General features: G+C 47.0%; 2 protein-coding genes across 7 annotated transcripts in view, besides 9 other annotated features; both read right to left on the bottom strand.

Annotated features, from left to right (window-relative positions):
- Positions 1-5,405, bottom strand: part of ZDHHC5 (zDHHC palmitoyltransferase 5) — a 33,069-nt gene extending 27,664 nt beyond the window's left edge. For 2 of the 5 annotated variants that reach the window (NM_015457.3, XM_047426724.1), the window contains exons 1-2: positions 5,332-5,405; positions 325-1,498 (exon numbers count right to left, since the gene is read on the bottom strand). In NM_015457.3, the coding sequence (NP_056272.2) occupies positions 325-428 (104 nt within the window). In that variant the 5' untranslated portion in view covers positions 429-1,498; positions 5,332-5,405. Of the gene's footprint in view, positions 1-324; positions 1,499-4,922 lie in introns of all 5 variants that reach the window. The other 3 variants (XM_011544900.2, XM_011544901.2, XM_011544899.2) reach the window with 3 other exon arrangements.
- Positions 4,327-4,964: an enhancer, noted in NCBI's record as "NANOG-H3K27ac-H3K4me1 hESC enhancer chr11:57436027-57436664 (GRCh37/hg19 assembly coordinates)". NCBI's record gives its function as "activates a minimal SCP1, AML or CMV promoter by ChIP-STARR-seq in primed H9 embryonic stem cells {active_cell/tissue: H9 hESC(primed)}" and the evidence as "EXISTENCE:reporter gene assay evidence [ECO:0000049][PMID:30033119]".
- Positions 4,704-4,773: an enhancer, noted in NCBI's record as "active region_4728". NCBI's record gives its function as "activates an Ori minimal core promoter by ATAC-STARR-seq in GM12878 lymphoblastoid cells {active_cell/tissue: GM12878}" and the evidence as "EXISTENCE:reporter gene assay evidence [ECO:0000049][PMID:35858748]".
- Positions 4,884-5,083: a silencer, noted in NCBI's record as "silent region_3356". NCBI's record gives its function as "represses an Ori minimal core promoter by ATAC-STARR-seq in GM12878 lymphoblastoid cells {active_cell/tissue: GM12878}" and the evidence as "EXISTENCE:reporter gene assay evidence [ECO:0000049][PMID:35858748]".
- Positions 4,884-5,604: a biological region, named in NCBI's record as "NANOG-H3K27ac-H3K4me1 hESC enhancer GRCh37_chr11:57435387-57436026".
- Positions 4,965-5,604: an enhancer, noted in NCBI's record as "NANOG-H3K27ac-H3K4me1 hESC enhancer chr11:57435387-57436026 (GRCh37/hg19 assembly coordinates)". NCBI's record gives its function as "activates a minimal SCP1, AML or CMV promoter by ChIP-STARR-seq in primed H9 embryonic stem cells {active_cell/tissue: H9 hESC(primed)}" and the evidence as "EXISTENCE:reporter gene assay evidence [ECO:0000049][PMID:30033119]".
- Positions 5,334-5,573: a silencer, noted in NCBI's record as "silent region_3355". NCBI's record gives its function as "represses an Ori minimal core promoter by ATAC-STARR-seq in GM12878 lymphoblastoid cells {active_cell/tissue: GM12878}" and the evidence as "EXISTENCE:reporter gene assay evidence [ECO:0000049][PMID:35858748]".
- Positions 5,774-6,353: an enhancer, noted in NCBI's record as "active region_4727". NCBI's record gives its function as "activates an Ori minimal core promoter by ATAC-STARR-seq in GM12878 lymphoblastoid cells {active_cell/tissue: GM12878}" and the evidence as "EXISTENCE:reporter gene assay evidence [ECO:0000049][PMID:35858748]".
- Positions 10,509-10,578: a silencer, noted in NCBI's record as "silent region_3354". NCBI's record gives its function as "represses an Ori minimal core promoter by ATAC-STARR-seq in GM12878 lymphoblastoid cells {active_cell/tissue: GM12878}" and the evidence as "EXISTENCE:reporter gene assay evidence [ECO:0000049][PMID:35858748]".
- On the bottom strand, positions 11,654-15,757 carry CLP1 (cleavage factor polyribonucleotide kinase subunit 1). Of its 2 annotated transcripts, none has more exons than NM_006831.3 (3): positions 15,659-15,757; positions 13,437-14,064; positions 11,654-12,754 (listed from the first exon to the last, which is right to left on the bottom strand). In NM_006831.3, the coding sequence occupies exons 2-3, from the start codon at positions 14,040-14,042 to the stop codon at positions 12,083-12,085; spliced, it is 1,278 nt and encodes a 425-aa protein (NP_006822.1). In that variant the 5' UTR covers positions 14,043-14,064; positions 15,659-15,757; the 3' UTR covers positions 11,654-12,082. The 2 variants fall into 2 exon arrangements, with proteins under 2 accessions (NP_006822.1, NP_001136069.1); NM_001142597.2 differs by having other exon boundaries at positions 13,629-14,064.
- Positions 16,114-16,283: an enhancer, noted in NCBI's record as "active region_4726". NCBI's record gives its function as "activates an Ori minimal core promoter by ATAC-STARR-seq in GM12878 lymphoblastoid cells {active_cell/tissue: GM12878}" and the evidence as "EXISTENCE:reporter gene assay evidence [ECO:0000049][PMID:35858748]".

The raw sequence follows: 18,738 nt of genomic DNA, 5'->3' as shown, positions 1-18,738 counted from the left end.
CTCTCTGGTGGTTTCCTCCCACTTCCTTCCTAGCTTAGGATCATCTAATGATGGAGCTGGGTAGAAAAATATGAAGACATCTATGATTCCAAAATAAAGGAGGAAAGGGTAGGTAGAAGATTCAGCGAAGTAAAACTGATAACACGACTGAAAGGACAGGCTTTTTCTCATTTTTCTTACATGTCTCTGGGATTTGGATTTACCTGTACCAGACGCTGAGCCCTCTCAGTCACTTGGCTTTGCAAAACTCAAGAGAAAGCGTTATCTCCTCACTTCCCATGGAGTATCCACCCACCCAAACACCCCTGCTGGGAGAAAACTCACGTAAAGGCAAAGAAGAGTGTCGTAGCTCCCACTAGGAAGATGGCGGCTGCAGAGACCGGGACATACTTGCTGGGTTTGAATCTCTTTCCAGACTCTGCGGGCATGTTGGAGCTCTGATGGGAAATCTGCCCTGCCGCATAGCCCAGGCCCACACAGCGGCAGAACAGACAAGAAAATGGGAGGAGGGAAGCAACAGAGAGGAGTACAAAAGAAAACCAGGGAAACAGAAAACTTTATCACCCTTCCCCCTCCCAAATAAAGCCAAAGGTCAAAAGATCTCAAATGAAGGAAAGCACATGGGAGGGGGAAAGGTGATTCCAAATGATGAATAACCACCTCCCCAGAACAAGGCAGAAGGGAAGATTAAGAAACACAACTTGTACAGTTTAAAAACTGGAGACAAACAGTAGGCTGTACACATGCAAATGGTTGCAGGTGGAAAACATGGACAGTCAGACAGATCAAGATACAGCTCATGGATGGAGGCAGGTCTTCAAAAGAAGGAGAGAATATCAGGGTATGGCAAAAAAACTTTGGGCAAAGAAAAATTCTTCTGAGATACTATAGTACCTCCACGACTACAGTTCCATAAAATGTGAGCTGCACCTAAAAGAGGTGTGCCCTGTGTTTCTATTTCTATTTCAATCCAAGAAGGAACCTGAGGCCCCTTCCAACTTTAAAGAGGAGCTTTGTTTACTGCAGTCTTTGTCTCTTTTAGGTAGTCTTCTCAATGCCACCACTCCCACACCCTGACTTCACCAGGGCTTGTAGTCTGGCAATGGTGGTTTAATTTATTTCTCTCTTGATGGCTAAAGCTGGACAACAGCTGTTCTAAGTTTGAGCTGTAAATCCTTTTCTTTGAAGGGGCAAGGAAAACAGGGCAAGCTTCTCTGTCTTCAATCTCTTCTTGTTATTCCCAAGCCCTTTAAGGGCTCTGTTTCCTACAAAGTTCATGTAAAACTAAAGGGAAACTTAAAATCCTTGAAGCCATGTTCTTCCCAATAGGCAGAATAAGATGAAGAAATCAATTCCAATTGATGACACTTCAAAAGTTTACTGTGGATGAAAACGAAGTTCCAAAGATGTCCCTGTTTCCAGACTAGTCAATGTCTCTTATCTTTCTTCAGTCTTCAGCTTTCCAGATGCAGAGTTCAACCAGGTTACTGTGTCTCACCTGGAGAAAAACAAGTATCTTTATCAGAGAATTCTTTCAGGGTATTTCTTAGACACCAAGGCTAAAATTCCACAGGCTGCTGTTAAAAAGTACTTTCTGAAAGAAAGACTGTTTTCCATTTCACTTACATGTATGTGGGTAAGAAGGGACTCTGAATTCAGAGGAAAACTGACTTGAGAATCCTTTGCTCTGTTCAGATTGGAAGCAGAACATGGCTTCACCTGGCCAAAGGACATCAAAGGACTAGCTCTTGTAAGGGGCCCATCTCACCTGACATAGATGGTAGTAACAAATACCAAGAATATCAAAATCACAAACAAGGGCACAGCAGTGAAGGGCAGTCCTAGAACAAAGATTTCTCTTTGGACAAGAAGAGTGTTTATTGTTATAGTGAAAAAAGAAAAAAATTAACCTCAAAATTAGGAAAGCAAGTCTCATTTTCTTTCTCTGTGTGTTTCTTTTGCTCCTCTATGCTTTTTAGTTACAATCCTGAAGAGGTAGAAGCTGAATTTTTGGTCTTTTGGAATCACCCATTAGAACACTGGGTAAGAAATGTTCTTGCAGAGAAAGCCATGATGCCCTCTATGAGAAACTGAATAAGCATAGCATAGGGTTGGTTCTTTTTTCCCAATTCAACAGTTTATTATTCCTATATTGGCCTAAGGTAACTGAGCCCCACCTGCCCCAATATGATTAAAAGTAACAATTATTTCTGTTGATGACAATAACAAACTAACACCAGCACCTTGGGATTTTATAAAATGCTTTTCATCTGGTGATCTAAAAGCACTTTACTCACATTATCTGGTGACGCAGTCCCTTATCCCACTCTTTAAAATTGAAGGCTACAGAATGCCCGAGGACATTCCACTGAATCACCTCAGGTTCAGAACTCAAGAGGTCACATGCCCCTCTGGTGACACAAACCCTTTCTACCTTTTCATCCACTACCTGCCCAGAGATGATAACTTGGAATCTGCAAGCCAAAAATTTTAAGTTAGAATTTTAAAAGAAAGTAGTTTTATTCCCTTCTCTACTAAAAATACAAAAATTAGCCGGGCGGGCGCCTGTAGTCCCAGCTACTCAGGAGGCTGAGGCAGGAGAATCACTTGAACCCAGGAGGCGGAGGTTGCAGTGAGCCACTGCACTACAGCCTGGGCAACAGAGCAAGACTCTGTCTCAAAAAAAAAAAAAAAAAAATCAGAAGATTCAGATAACAAAATATAAATGTGCCCTATAATGTACCACTTCCTCTCTCACCTATGGCATGGAAGGCAAAGGTGCCTTCCCTTACGATTCATTTCTCTCTTTAAAATTAGGGTTTCAGAGGGCCAAACAGCAGTATTAGAATACAGTGAGCGCCAAAAGATTCTAAGAAACTGTTATAGTCCTAGAAAACATAAATCCTCTCTAGTCCCTGATTTAATGATTATTTAACTCTCAGTTTCCTACAGGAATGGAAGCCTAACATTTGGAATGTAGGCCTCAGTAACTTTGTTAACAAAAGCAAACTCTTGATTTGTAGACAATATGTACTTTTTTTTTTTTTTTGAAACACAGTTTCCCTCTGTCACCCAGGCTGAAGTGCATGGTGTGATCTCAGCTCACTGCAACCTCCGAGTCCCGGATTCAAGCAATTCTCCTGTCTCAGCCTCCCGAGCAGCTGGGATTACAGGAGGGCACCACCACACCCAGCTAATTTTGTATTTTTAGTAGAGATGGGGTTTCACCATGTTGCCCAGGCTGGTCTCGAACTCCTGACCTCCAGGTGATCTGCCTCCTCACCCAAAGTGCTGGGATTACAGGTGTGAGACACTCTGCCCAGCCAATATGTACTATTAAAGCAAACTTTTCCCTCAAAATCCCAAAGACTAGAAAAGATGGAAAATTATACTACTTAAATTTTATCTAGAGTAGAATATCATTTAGATACTATATATTGTTTCATATATTTTCCACAGGAAAAAAGTCACATGGACTAATATTGACATAGTAATACAGAGTCATGAAAGGCCATGCAATTTTGGGAGTATAATACTGGGAACACAAAAGAGAACAGCATCTGAGATGCTTGGGGGCTACACAGTAGAAGGGAAATCAAAAACCTAACAATTTATTGGGTATAAATAAAGATGAACCAATTCTTAGCAAAAGAATGTGCTGCAGATACTAGGATGAAACCACAAGGGTGAGTATGGTTCATCAGAGTCAACAGTTTGAATCCATACTAGTATCAAAAAAGTATACAAGAATATGTATGCCAGCTGGGCACGGGGGCTCACGCCTGTAATCCCAGCACTTTGGGAGGCCGAGGCGGGCGGATCATTTGAGGTCAGGAGTTCGAGACCAGCCTGGCCAACATACCAAAACCCTGTCTCTACTAAAAATACAAACAAATGAGCAGGGCGTGATGGGGCATGCCTGAAATCCCAGCTACTAGGGAGGCTGAGACACGAGAATCGCTTGAACCCGGGAGGTGGAAGTTGCAGTGAGCCAAGATAGCAGCCACTGCACTCCAGCCTGGGCGACAGAGCCAGACTCCGTCTCAAAAATGAGAAAAAAAGTAATATGTATGCCATATTGAGGCACAGAGTAAACTATGAAATGGAAATATGTATATGTAAAACAAACAATACAGGATATGTGGTTTGAAGGCTTTAATAAGGTTTAATACAGGTATTTCCTTAAATAGGTGGATACCAGCAGTACCAAGGACAACACAACTATTTTTTGTTGAAATAAGCGGTGTAACAGTACAATAGAGTAAATCTAAATGCACAGTAATGGAGGTACCATGGAATAATTCACATGTCAAGGTATGGGAGAAAGAGCCAAGAAGTTTAATGTGGGTGTTATCATTATATACCGAGGTAGCAAAATACATGGCAATATAATTTTGTAAACATTAAGTTTATACAATGGGTGATAATGAGCATTCTGAAGATATTTGATCCAGGACAGAGGTATACTGAGATAGAAGGATGATATGCAAATGTTAGATCAACTTGGTCAAGATGGCATTAACCAGGAAGTGAAGAATCCAAGGCAAAAAATAGTCTAGCGTATAACGTATATGTGATCCTACAACTGCCTTCCTAACTTTTAGCAACTTTCTTACTTCTTATTTCAGTGTTTCATTTGGCCAAGTGGGTAAAACACTTTCCACCTGCCTGCCCCAAATATAGGTAAAATATTGACAAACGCATTCGGGCTCCACTTTAAAAAGTACAAAGTACTAAACGCATGGAGCACTCGGCTGGTGGCGGTAGGAGGAGGAAGCGGACGGGTGAGAGAGAACAGGTAACAGGATGAAGCTTGAGCCAAAATAAGTATCAGCAGAGTGGAGCGAGGGACTCGAACCGCAGAGCGGTAAAAGGGAAACAGCACCCGGTCCCCACCACGGGACTGGGGAAAGGAGAATCACCCGTTGGGGCAGGGCTGACGACCGCTGAAACCGAAAAGAAGGAATCCACGGCGGCCAGGCCCACCGAGGTTGAGAGAGCGGGCTGCGGGGACCGCAGAGCCCGAGGGCGCAGGGCCGGGGGCGGAAGGGGCGGCGGCTGGGCGCCAGGCACCGGGGACCGCGGTCTCGAGCTGAGTGGCCGTCTCTAACCCGTTCCGAGCCCTGGCGGTCGTGGATCCCCGGCCTCTACTCGTCGTCCGTTTCCAAGGCCCATGGGTCCCGCCGCGGTTGGAAGACCCGGCCCGGAGGAGAAATAGGGCCTTAATACCCTCCCCGTCTTCGGTCCCCCTTCCCTAGAGGTCACCCTCCCCTCCCACCTCGCTGGTACGGCACTTCCGGTTCCGCAGGGACCGGTGTCCTCCGCACTCACCCGCGAGCCCGGTGCCCGTCACCACCGCCGTCGTTGTCACCGCCGCCTCCCGGCAGTGCCGTCCTGCCTCAGAGAAGCAGCGCGCGGCCCCCGCACGCTCCACGCCCGCCCCGCTGCCGCGCGCTCCCGCCAGGCGTCGCTCGTCTCGGAGCCGGCGCGCGGCCGTTGCCCTCAGTGCCGGGTCTCGAACCCTTCCAGCGTTCCCATTGGCTCCCTAGTCCGGGCTCGCGCGACGTCTCGCGCGGCGCACGTTTGTCTCATTCATGCGGCTCGCGCTGCCGCGCCCAACCCCGCTCACTCTCCCATTCACCCATAGCCCCCACCCCGACTCCGATCTGGGGCGTGCGCGCGAACCCTGGCGACCGCGGCGACCTCGCGGCCTGATTGGCTGCAGCAACACAACGACGTACGCACGCGAGAAGACGAGAGCGCGCACGTAAGGCCGTGGGGTTGCGGGGACAACTAAGAGACAAGGATTGGCCTAATGCACAGGAGTCAGGAATGAGGAAATGGCCAGGCGAGTCTTCCCTTCTCCTGCGTCCTGTTGTATTCCCACTGAATCCAAGCAAAAACCCCCGGAAATAAGAAAAGAATTATGTGTGTGTACTAGAAGTACTCAAAAGCAAGCAGCTACCTTCTCGAATTCAGCAACCCCTCTCCTACTGAGGTGGTACAGTCCAGACAGGCTTCCAGCGCAGCCAATTACCGACGACTATCGCCGCTTCCTGCTTCAGCCCCTTCGCGGCGGATTGGCCAACCATTTGGCGACTAGGCCTCCCTCTTCTCCTTCCCATCTCCTTTTTTTTTTTTTTTTTTTTTTTTGATGGCAAAAACTTTATTTAAAACAATCTTGCTGGAGAAATCTTCAGTCCGGCGAGGTCGCTGGTCCGGGCAGAATCCAGGGCGATGGAATGGTCTGGGCTGTGTCTCCCACATGAAGGGGACGCCCGGACTTGAAGAGCCAATGTAGGGCGAGGCTCCTGCCAAGGGCCGGGGAGGGAGATGAAGAAGAGCAGGCGCCAGCCTTGGAGCCGTAGCGCTAACCGTGAGAGGGAAGCCTAAGGAGCGCGCGACCTGAGGCGGTGGCAGCACCCTCCCGCCCCCGGAGTGCGAGCCGGGAAGTGAACTCCCTGAATTCCATTAGTTTCCCACTGTCACACGTGGGATGGGCGCCCGCATCCCTCACCTCACCCAATCCTAGAATACAAAGCTAAAAGCAAAAGGTTCTCTAGAATAGCTACTGTCCCTGGCGAGCTAACTCTGCATAGGTCATAGTGCTACGCTTTGCCCTGATTAGCCCAAGACAGCTGTGAACCCAATAGCAATGCCCCATGTTCTCTCCCCATTCGGCTCGAGGCTATTTCTTTTTTCGAAAGCAACTCTAGCTATTACATAATGGTCCCTCAAAAAGGTGTTTCACAAGCCACTTCCCTGAAGCCGAGGCCCCTCACCTGTAAAATCCTGAGGACTGTCCTCGGGTTTGGTCTCAAATGTTGCTGGCTTTACTGTGGTTCTGACACTAGCATTAGGCAGTAAGGTAAAAGAGAACTACCTTCTGTTTTCTGGAATCTAGTTCCTTCTCTGACATGGCATATATTATAAGTTCTAGTTTATTCTTGTTAACAGCGTCAATCCAGCATTTATTGCAACACACTTGAGAGTTCTTTATAACGACTTTATATTTTTAAAACAGACCTGGCCTGGCGTGGTGGTTCACACCTGTAATCCCAGCACTTTGGGAGGCCAAGGCAGGCGGATCACGAGGTCAGGTGCTCAAGACCAGCCTGGCCAACATAGTGAAACTCCCTCTACTAAAAATACAAAAATTAGTCGGGCATGGTCGGGGGAGCCTGTAATCCCAGCTACTCGGGAGGCTGAGGCAGGAGAATTGCTTCAACCCGGGAGGCAGAGGTTGCCGTGAGCCGAGACCACACAACTTCACTCCAGCCTGGGCAACAGAGCAAGACTCCGTCTCAAAACAAAACAAAAACCTCTTTAGACCATATGAAAGGTAAATTATTGAAGATACAATATTGATATTTTATTTTTTACTTTTTGAGAGGGAGTCTCACACTGTCACCCAGGCTGGAGTGCAGTGGCGCGATCTCAGCTCATGGCAACCTCCTCCCGGGTTCAAGCAATTCTCATGCCTCAGCCTCCTGAGTAGCTGGGATCACAGGCATGTGCCACCACACCTGGCTAATATTTGTATTTTTAGTAGAGATGGGGTTTCACCATGATGGCCACATTGGTCTGGAACTCCTGACCTCAAATGATCCTCCCACCTCGGCCTCCCAAAGTGCTGAGATTACCGGTGTGAGCCACAGTGCCCGGCCTGATATTGGCATTTTCTACCTGTAAGCCATGTTTCTTTAAGATGAAGTCAGCTTTCATTTTTCTGTTGCAATATTTTTCTTGGATTTTTAGACTTCCTGATTTCCTCCACAAATTAGGCATTTTTATTTTCCTTTCAGCTGTCTAAGAACTTGTAAATAGTGGTGTCTCTTGGCTAGACAGTGCTAAATGGAAAAAAAAAATCAGTCTTCCACCATCCAACCAAACTAAACTCCCCTGGGATACTAACTTGGATTGCCAAGCTTTGTTAGGTGGATGAGCACTAACAGAGGTATAATCACTATCCCAAAGTTGAAAGACAGAGATTCCACTTGTCCAGTTTTCCTTGGGATCACTCAAGATATTTCTTGGAAAGAACGTTTAATAGAACATATGGTTTAAAGTGCCAGCTACTTCTGAAAAGTATCCAGAGTAAAATCTAGGCTAAAACAGTATGATATCCAGACCACCCAAACTTTAAATTACTTTAATATGTTAATGGCTTCTCTCATCTGCGCATCTTTGTTCATCTTGCTCACCACACTCTTCGGCTGCCTGGACTTAGACCCTCAGTAGCATGGGCACCTAAGCACACAGAAAGCTAGAACATGCATTTCCCAATTTTTGTGTTTTTAGGGTTTCACCATGTTGGCCAGGGTAGTCTCCAACTGCTGAGCTCAAGTGATCTGCCTGCCTCGACCTCCCAAAGTGCTGGGATTACAGGTCTGAGCCACTGCTCCTGGTCAACCTCTTTGTGTTTAAATACTGCTCTTTCCTCCTGTCCTTGTGAAATGTCTCTGTATGTGTTAAAGGGTAGTTCTTCCCTTTGTGCTGTGGATCCTATCTCCTTCGCTCCTGCATTTTTTCTGGTGCTGGGGGATGGAGTCTTGCTCTGTTACCCAGGCTGGAGTGCAGTGACGCGATCTCAGCTCACTGCAACCTCCGCCACCCATGGACAATTAATAGCTCATATTTAACACTGCCAAAAACCTCGAGTTTCCCTTGTCCCTCAGGGGGACAACTCCCTGAGTTTTCCCAATCTCATGTCTAACCTAGTGTGTCTTGTTAAAAAAAATCCAGGATGCATCCTTGATTCCATCGTTTTCCTCACCACTCCGTTATGAAGTCCTGCCTTCAGAATATCCTCTCACCAGCTCTACCTCTGCTGCCCTAGTATTTCATCCCCCACCATTTCTCACATTTGCACTTTTACAAAACTCTCCTAATTACTGTCCTTGCTTTTACACTTGCCCTATAACCCACTCTCCACAAAGCAGTGATCTTTTCAAAATGTAAAGTAATCAGCCAGGCTAATCCCAGCACTTTGGGAGTCCGAGGCGGATGGATCACTTGAGGTCAGGAGTTCGAGACCAGCCTGGCCAACATGGCAAAACCCCATCTCTACTAAAAATACAAAAATTCGCCAGGCATGGTGGTGCATGCTACTCAGCTACTCAGGAGGCTGAGGCAGGAGAATAACTTGAACCCAGGAGGCAGAGGTTGCAGTGCACCGAGGTCATGCCACAGCACTCTAGCCTGGGCAACATAGCAAAACTCAGAAGGAGGGAAGGAAAGGGGGAGGGAAGGGGAGGAGAGAGGAGAGGAGGTGAGGGAAGGAAAGGAAAGGAAGGAATAGGAAGGAAGGGGAAGGAATGAAAAAGAGAAGAAAAAAGAGAGAAGAAAAAGAGAGCAGGAAGGAGGGAGAGAGGAAAGAGGAAAGGAAAGGAAAGGAAAAGAAAGGAAAGGAAGAAAGAAAGAGGGAAGGGAGGGAGGAGATCAGCCGGGCGTGCTGGCTTACGCCTGTAATCCCACACTTTGGGAGGCCTAGGCGGGCGGATCACCTGAAGTCGGGAGTCGGAGACAAACCTGACCAACACGGAGAAACCCCATCTATACTAAAAACACAAAATTAGCCGGGCATGGTGGCGCATGCCTGTAATCCCAGCTACTCGGGAGGCTGAGGCAGGAGACTCGCTTGAACCTGGGAGGTGGAGGTTGCACTGAGCCAGATTGCGCCATTGCACTCCAGCCTGGGCAACAAGAATGAAACTCTGTCCCCCCCCAAAAAAAAAAAGATCAAATAATTACTCTACTTAACTACCCCTCCCCTCTGGTTCCCATTGCTCTTAAGAGTAAAATCCATTCTTAAACCAGGTGCTGTGGCATGAGCCTGTAGTCCCAGCTACTCAGGAGACTAAGGTGGGCGGATCACTTAAGCCCAGAAGTTCAAAGCCAGCTTGGGCAACATAGTGAGACACGCCCCATCTCTTTTTTTTTTTTTTTTTTTTTGAGTCAGAGTTTCGCTCTTATTGCCTAGGCTGGAGTGCAGTGGCGTGATCTTGGCTCACGGCAACCTCCACCTCCCGGGTTCAAGCAATTCTCTTGCCTCAACCTCCCAAGTAACTGGGATTACAAGCATGTGCCACCACGCTCAACTAAATTTTTTTTGCATTTTTAGTAGAGATGGGGTTTCACCATGTTGGTCAGGCTGGTCTCGAACTCCTGACCCCAAGTGATCCAGCCACCTCAGCCTCCCAAAGTGCTGGGATTACAGGCATGAGCCACCACGCCCGGCTGAGATCCCTATCTCTTAAAAAGAAATAAAAAATCCTTTTCTTTTTTTGAGACAGAGTGTCCTTCTGTCACCTAGACTGGAATGCAGTGATGCAATCTCGGCTTTCTGCACCTCCACCTCTTGGGTTCAAGGGATTCTCAGACTCCTGAGTGGCTGGGGTTAAAGGCATGGCCACCACCCATGGCACCTGGGCCAAAAAATCCATTCTTCACCGTGGTTTACAAAAGCCCTACATTATCTGGTCTTTGCTGCCCCCTCCAGCCTCATCTTGTACAGTCTTTCTTGGTTCACTAAGCTTCAACCACACTGGCTTTTCTCTTCACCAAACTCATCAAGCTTGTTCCTTTATTAGGGTTTTGCAGTTTTTTCTCACCAGGAAGGTTTTGCCCCAGACTTCACACAGCCATTCAAGTCTTAGCCCAAAATGTATGCTCAGGAAGGGCCTTTCCTGACCACCCAATCTAAAGTAGCCTCCAGTCACTCTGTCTCATATCCCCCAAATTTAAGTCTCTGCATAGCACTTGCCTTTTTAAATTTGTTTATTCTATAATGTAAGCTCCATAAAACTTTTGTCTGTCTTGTTCCCCATCTACAGTGGCTCCTGACAAACAGTCAGTCCTCAGTAAACATTTATGAAAAGAAGGAATGGATGAATGGCATCAGATACTTAAGTAATCCAAGTGCAAACCAGGGACACCAAACAGTCATTTGCAAGAGATCAAAAAGAATGGGCTTTCCCAGTTTCTTACCACCTGAAAGCTTAAGTTACACTTTGACTTAGGGCCTAGTTCCAATCAAATAGACAAGGATAGCTGTACTGGAAGGAAAATGAGCTATCTCTGGAAAATGATTAGATATGAAATCTCATTCCAAGATTATCACCAGCCTCTAACTCCCCACAGTAAATCCAGCACTGACAGCAGATTTACCATCTACTTACCTAAGCGCAGAGGAAAGGTGAACTATCATAAGAACTCACAGCCGGGCACAGTGTCTCACACCTGTAATCCCAGCATTTTGGGAGGCCGAGGCAGGCAGATCATGAGGTCAGGAGTTTGAGACCAGCCTGGCCAACATAGTGAAACCCTGTCCCTACTAAAAGAAATACAAAAAATTAGCTGGGCGTGGTGGCGGGCACCTGTAACCCCAGCTATTTGGGAGGCTGAGGCAGGAGAATCACTTGAACCTGGGAGGCAGAGGTTGCAGTGAGCCAAGATCACGCCACTGCACTCCAGCCCAGGTGACAGTGTGAGACTCTTACAAAAACAACCACCACCACCACCAAAAAAAAAAACCTGACGTGGCTCACAGGTAGGTTTCTTGGTTTTCCCCTCCTCCAAGCATTTTAGCAATAAATCATTCCAATTATGTTTCTATAACGCTTAGGGGAAAAAAATAAATTATACCAACTTCTATGATATGGCAAAAATATTTATTAAAATGATTTTTTTTAAGTTTGAACTTTATTGGAAGGAGTCCCTCTAATTCACACTTTCATCCTAGATAAATGGGTAAGAACCACATATGGAATATAAAGCATTGATTTTTTAAAAACCACATAGTAGCACAGTGAAAGAAATGCAATTCTCCAGGGTCTTAGAGAATTCAAAGTGGCATCTTAGGTGGTCTAAGAAACCAATTACAGTCTCATGGTTTTCCTTTTGGTTCAAGATTAGAAGAGTCAGGTTACCACTACCTGTTTTTAGAGGTAGAATATGAACTTTCTACTAGTCCACAGTTTACTGGTCAGGTGGCCCCAACAGTCTTTTATCTCAGCCCATCTGCCTCTAGGGGTGGCCAGATGATCTCTATGTCCCAGGCAGCAAGGCTTCCTGCTGATCTCTACTTCAGATCCATGAACCGGATATCCATGATGAGAAGGAAGTTCTTAGGCAGTGGGCGAGGGGCTGGAGACAGAACAGTAAACACCTGATGCTCCAGGTCCACACTGGTCACCACAATGAAGCCAGCTACACTTGTCTCGGACAGGTTCTCCTCTGTACCCTCGGCAGTGCTAACACTCAGTAGGTGGTGCACCATATCTCGCCCAGGAGTGACAGGTACTAGCTTGAGCTGATTATCCTCTTGAGACATGCCCAAAGGTAAACAGGAGTCTGGGATGGTGGGTGCCCCAACTTTGTAGATTTTCACATCTGAAAATTTGACATTGAAGGCATGGGGATAGAAACAGCCTCGGAATCCATAAAAATACTCACGGATACGCTCATCCCTACATTCCCGCCGGAAGTCCTTGGAGCGCTCCACCACACCCCCAGATTTAGGGAGCAGCACAGTGCGTACAAAGTGGGGGAGGTCCCGTTTCAGTTCATTGTACAGTCGTTCTTGATCCAGAACAACAACGACATCCACCTCAAAAGCTGAGGCTGCATGCACCAGAGCCTGGTAACCAGAGCCCTTGACCCAGCCACAGGTGTTAATGACACAGCCACTCACAGATGCCCTTCGGTTCACCTCACACCTTTGGTTGAACACATCTGCTAAACGAGATGTAATCTGCAAAAGAGAGGATCAAGGTAAGAACAAAAACACCCAGACAAACCCATGGCTACTTTGTTCCTCTTTAGAATAAGTGCTATTAGATATAAGAAAAATGATTTTTTTTTTGAAATGGAGTCTCACTCTGTTGCCCAGGATGGAGTGCAGTGGCACGATCTCAGCTCACTGCAACCTCCACCTCCCGCGTTCAAGTGATTCTCCTGCCTCAGTCTCTGAACAGCTGGGATTACAGGCACCAGCCACCACGCCCAGCTACTTTTTGTATTTTTAGTAGAGACAAGGTTTCACCATGTTGGCCAGGCTGCTCTCCAACTCCTGACCTCAGGTGATCCACCCGTCTCAGCCTCCCAAGTTGTGGGATTACAGGCATGAGCCACTGTACCCAGCCTGAAAAAATGACATTTTTAATGGCTGTAGTTTTGATACCATAACATGGATTTAATTTTTATGTTGCTGCTTCTGCCTCCTGTTTTATGCCCTAAGTGAAAATCTAACAAATTACTAAGAATAGATCCACAGAAATGTTTAACAATCTGAGACTGACATATTTGGAATTGCCTTTCTAAAGTAATGCAGCAGAAATACCAGCTGAGAAAATGCAGTGTTAACTAGTAAACTTCTCCAGTTTCCTACCCTGATAGCAGCCCTTCCCTCCACCCCACCTTTCTCTGGCTCTGACCTTATTATAAAGCTTGATGTTAGTGCCAGGAGTGGTGGAACCAAAATGATACACCAGAGGGGCCTGGATAGAGAAACCCTCTTCGACATCTGCAGGCCGCTCGATGTAGAGGGCCCCCATGGTACCAGGGATGGACACAGAACCCTGGCCCACATCCAGCTCCACATAAGTGGGACGGCGGCCCAAACGCACTGCGTAGTTGAGCAGAAGGCGACACACTGTAGACTTGCCCACATCAGTGGGGCCCACTACCATCACTCGGGGACCTCGCTCTTCTTCCTTTTCCGCTTGCCTCCGCATCTGTTCCAAGGCTGTGTGAGTGTTGAGGTAAAGCAACATAGGAGTGTCCTTGGAGACATAAGCCACCTCAGTGCGGCCGCTCAGTTGCACAGAACAGCCATGCCAAGTGAAAACAGCCACCTTGGCACCAGCATCAAAGGTGAATTTCTTGTTTCGGGTCAGCTCTGTGCCAAAGATCTCTGCCATGCCAGTCAACAACTCCAACTGAACTGACTGAGATGCCTCCACCTCAAAGCGAAGTTCTGTTTCTCGCTCTAGTTCAAATTTAGTGGTTGGCTTCTTGTCATCATTAGCCTCTTCTCCCATCTCTTCTGTGTAGCTGCTGTGCCTAGAACACAAATTAAATATCAGATCTAATTATAAGTCAGTCTTCTGTTACAAAAACATCCAATGGGGCCAGGCATGGTGGCTCACGCCTGTAATCCCAGCACTTTGGGAAGCCGAGGTGGCTGGATCACTTGAGGTCAGGAGTTCAAGACTAGCCTGGCCAACATGGTGAAACCCTGTCTCTACTAAACATACAAAAAAAAAATTAGCCGGGCATGGTGGAGGGTGCCTGTAATCCCAGCTCTTTGGGAGGCCAAGGCAGGAGAATCGCTTGAACCCAGGTGGCAGAGGCTGCAGTGACCCGAGATTGTGCCACTGCATGCTAGCCTGGGCAACAGAGCAAGACTCCATCTCAAAAAAAAAAAAAAAAATCATCCAATGGGCCAGGCACAGTGGCTTAGGCCTGTAATTTCAGCACTTTGGGGCGCTGAGTTGGGCAGATCCCCTGAGCTCAGAAGTACAAGACCAGCCTGGGCAACATGGTGAAACCCCGTCTGTAGAAAAAATGCAAATATTGGCCAGGCCTGGTGGCTCACGCCTGTAATCCCAGCACTTTGGGAGGCCAAGGTGGGTGGATCACCTGAGGTCAGGAGTTCAAGACCAGCTTGGCCAACATGGTGAAATCTCAGTATTTACTAAAAAATACAAAAATTAGCCAGGCATAATGGTGGGCGCCTGTAGTCCCAGCTACTCAGGAGACTGAGTCAGGAGAATCGCTTGAACCCAGGAGGTGGAGGTTGCAGGGTTGCAGTGAGGCGAGATCATGCCACTGTACTCCCGCCTGGGTGACAGACCAAGGCTCTGTCTCAAAAAAAAATAAAATAAAATAAACAAATAAATAAATAAATAATAAAAACATACAATGAATGTTTCCCCTTACCTTGCTTTAATTCTCTCCATATTTCTTATCACCATCGGTCTCACTATATATTGTGTCTTCCCCGCCTCCTCCACCCCAAAATGTAAGACTTAGGCATTTTTGTTTGATACTATATACTGCTTAGAATACAGCTTGACAGACTGTAGGCACCTCAATACATTGAGTGAATTAATGTCTCAGACATCAGAGAAAAACCATACCTACAGACTGACAGAAGATTTAATTATATCACCCTCCATCACTCTATTGGTAAACTCCAAACTTGAGAAGGTAACAGATGCCCTGACCCCAATCATCCTAGTCAACAGGAAAGGGCGTCTGAAATACGGATGCAAAGCAGAGCACACCGGGTCTGAACTCAGAAAACAGCCTAATCCTCGTCTCTGTAACTACTAGTAGTGTCTTTAGACAATCACTTAACTTCTCTGAACCTTTGAAGCTGTCGACTGGAAGCACTTACACTTCCTCAAATACAGTGTTGTTCTTGGGGTTTACAGGAATTGTGGGAGGAAAAAAAAGCACTTCGTAAACTAGAAAACGGCAAGGAAACGATATGAATTATTTCTGATCCTGGACTGCAGCTCTAGCTCCAGCATTTGTCCCAACCTTCCCAGACACCAAAATCTCCCCAAGACACCAAAATCTCCCCAGACACCAAAATGTCCCCAGACCCCAAGGAGGTGACAGTTGTGTTCCTGCCCTTTTTTTAACTCACCTGCGCAGCCAGGAGCCCAACAGGTAAACTCAGAAGGTCCTCCCGTGCAGAATTTAAACCAAACTACAAGCGGTTCTTGCCCGGACCCACGCCGGAAACAAACGCAGTTCCGCACTTGCGCTGTGAAAGGACACGCGGTCGCGCGCTGCCCTTTGGGATGTGTAGTTTGCCGGAGCAGCCGAGAGCGGGTGCACTCGCTAAGCCGCTCGGCCTTCTGGGAGTTGTAGTCAAAGGATTGTTTTGAACGTGACGCCAAAGGTGGGAGGGGCGGCTGTTGTCATTATTCGTGCAGCCGGAGGGAGGGGTGAGGAGGCGTGGCGGTTGCGCCCCCGCGCTGGGCAGGGACAGGTCGAGGGACCAGGCTTCGGCAGTGCGCGTCCGCGGCGGGAATCTCGCCCCAGATTTCCTGCTCCCCTGCAGCCCAGGAAACAGAAGGGAGGCCCGGGAGAAAGAGAGACTCACTGTCTCGGTCTAGGTCCCGCGACGGCCTGCTTGCCTGGACAAGCCACGAAGCACAAAATCCTTTTTAGGCAGGGGGAAACCCAGGGATAGAGAAAGCGGAGGAAGACAGCCTGACAGAGGTTTCACCAAGCTGTCATCTCCCACCTGACACAGTGCTTGGCACATGGAAGGCATTTCAAATTTTTTTTCTTTAATAAAAGAATAAAAATCCGATGATTTCTTCCAGCTACAAGTCAGTCATTACCCAACAACCTCTCTCCCACTAAACGAGGATTTTTGTTAGGCACTCATTTCCCTCCATAAATCCCTGACAGTTACAGGTCAGTCATTTGCCCCGCAGCCAACAGGTTCCACCACGTCTATAATCCTCTTTTTACTACCTTGGGCTTTGGAATCTTATATTATTTGCTATACTGCTTACATTACTGTGTGACTTTGAGCAAATCACAGGCTTCATCTCTCTGAGATCGTTTTTTTTTTTCTTTTTGTTTTTGAGACAGGGTCTCACTCTCTCGCCCAGGTTGGAGTACAGTGCCGCGAACATGGCTCACTGCAGCCTCGACCTCCTGGGCTCAAGCGTGATATCGTTTTTTGTCTGCAAAGTTGGGATAATAACAGTGCCCAACCTCCTAAAGTTGTTTTGACGATTGCAGGAATGTGCCTGTAAAGTACTAAGTACAATGCCTGTAATATAGAAAAAAATCTGATATCAGCTTTTACGTTTTTATTATAGGCTGGGGCGGAAGGGGCTATAATATCATTCATTCGTGCAATACTTAACATTTTTCAGATCCCTTTCAGGCATCTTCTTTCACAGCCACCCTGTAAAGACAGCTTTATTATATCCAATTTCAGATGGGGGAGGAGACTCAGATAGGTGCAGAGGTTTGCCCAAACATTAACAGCCATTGGTAGAGCTAGGACTCAAACCCAGAGTTTCTGAGTCCGGTTATAATAATAGTAAACATTTAGGCCAGGCGCGGTGGCTCACGCCTGCAGTCTCAGCACTTTGGGAGGCCGAGACGGGCGGATCACCTGAGGTCAGGAGTTCGAGACCAGCCTGACCAACATGGTGAAACCCCATCTATACTAAAAATACAAAAATTAGCTAGGCGTGGTGGCGGGCGCCTGTAATCCCGGCTACTTGGGAGGCTGAGGCAGGAGAATCGCTTGAACCGGGGAGGCGGAGGTTGCAGTGAACTGAGATCACGCCACTGCACACCAGCCTAGGCAACAGAGTGAGACTCTGTCTCACAAAAAAAATCACATTTAAGGCAGGGCGTGGTGGCTCACGCCTGTAATCCCAGCACTTTGGGAGGCCGAGGTGGGTGGATCACGAGGTCAGGAGATCGAGACCATCCTGGCTAACATAGTGAAACCCCGTCTCGACTAAAAATACAAAAAAATTAGCTGGGCGTGGTGGCAGGCGCCTGTAGTCCCAGCTACTAGGGAGGCTGAGGCAGGAGAATGGCCTGACCCCGGGAGGCGGAGCTTGCAGTGAGCTGAGATCCTGCCACTGCACTCCAGCCTGGGCGACAGCGCGAGACTCTGTCTCAAAAAAACAAAAACAAAAAACAAAAAACCACATTTATATACTGTTATATGCCAGATACTGGTCTATGGACTTTTCAGGTGTAAATTCATTTAATCGTAGCCAGAATCCTATGCAGTAGGTACTATAATTGTCATCTCCACTTTACAGGTGAGTACTTTTTTCAGTCCGGCTCACGTAGTTAATTCATATTGAGGAGACTGGGAAGATTTTCTGGTTCGCCAGAAAGATTTTCTCCTGCTGGCCCTACTTAGCAGCACTCCCCAAGCAGTGCCATCCTCACTTATCACTTCTGAGTTTTTCTTTGATGGTTTGCTTTAATTATTTCATTCATTGAACATATATGCATTAGCTTTTTTTTTTTTTTTTTTTTTTTTGAGATGAGGTTTTGCTCTGTTGCCCAGGCTGGAGTGAAGTGGTGCAATTTCAGCTCACTGCAACCTCTGCCTCCTGGGTTCAAGTGATTCTCCTGCCTCAGCCTCCCAAGTAGCTTGGATTACAGGCGTGTGTCACCACGCCCAGGTAATTTTTGTATTTTTAGTAGAGATGGGGTTTTCACCATGTTGGTCAGGCTGACCTCAAACTTCTGACCTCAAGTGATCTGCCCATCTCCGCCTCCCAAAGTGCTGAGAACACAGGCGTGAGCCACCACGCCCGGCCTATGCATTAGTTTTTCAATTAACTATTGTGTGTCCCCTAATCTTCCACTCTTCTTTAAAAATTCAGTTCCAGTCTTCCATTTGCAAATTTTCTCCCTGAGTGGGCTTATCCTCGCCTTTTTCCATGCAATCTATCTCCGAGATCTGTATCTTCGCCTCTACTATCTCCCTTGAGGCAGTTTCTCCCAGTTACCTGAAAGTTGTTTTTATTTGGATATTGTATAACCATCTCAAGCTGAACTTAGGGAAAAGAACCCCTCCTTTCCTTTAGGCTGCTCTCCATTTTGCCTCTAAAATACAGAAAGAGTCAGGACACAACATTTAAAGCATCTGTGCTTGACTACACTCTCTTCTCTCACTTTTTTTTTTTTTTTTTTTTTTTTTAGATGGAGTCTTACTCTGTCTCC

The sequence above is a fragment of the Homo sapiens genome, chromosome 11 (genome assembly GCF_000001405.40).
Source record: "Homo sapiens chromosome 11, GRCh38.p14 Primary Assembly".
NCBI classification, from domain to species: Eukaryota; Metazoa; Chordata; class Mammalia; order Primates; family Hominidae; genus Homo; species Homo sapiens.
The sequence above is the reverse complement of the archived record's forward strand: the minus strand, read 5'-3'. Positions and strand labels throughout refer to the sequence as shown.

What these genes read in the sequence shown, in the direction of transcription:
- CLP1 (NM_006831.3), bottom strand. Translation starts at nt 14,042, where the DNA reads ATGGGAGAAGAGGCTAATGATGACAAGAAGCCAACCACTAAATTTGAA. An exon ending in ACATCAAGCTTTATAATAAG is followed by an intron (nt 12,755 to 13,436) that starts GTCAGAGCCAGA and finishes TCTCTTTTGCAG; the next exon opens with ATTACATCTCGTTTAGCAGA.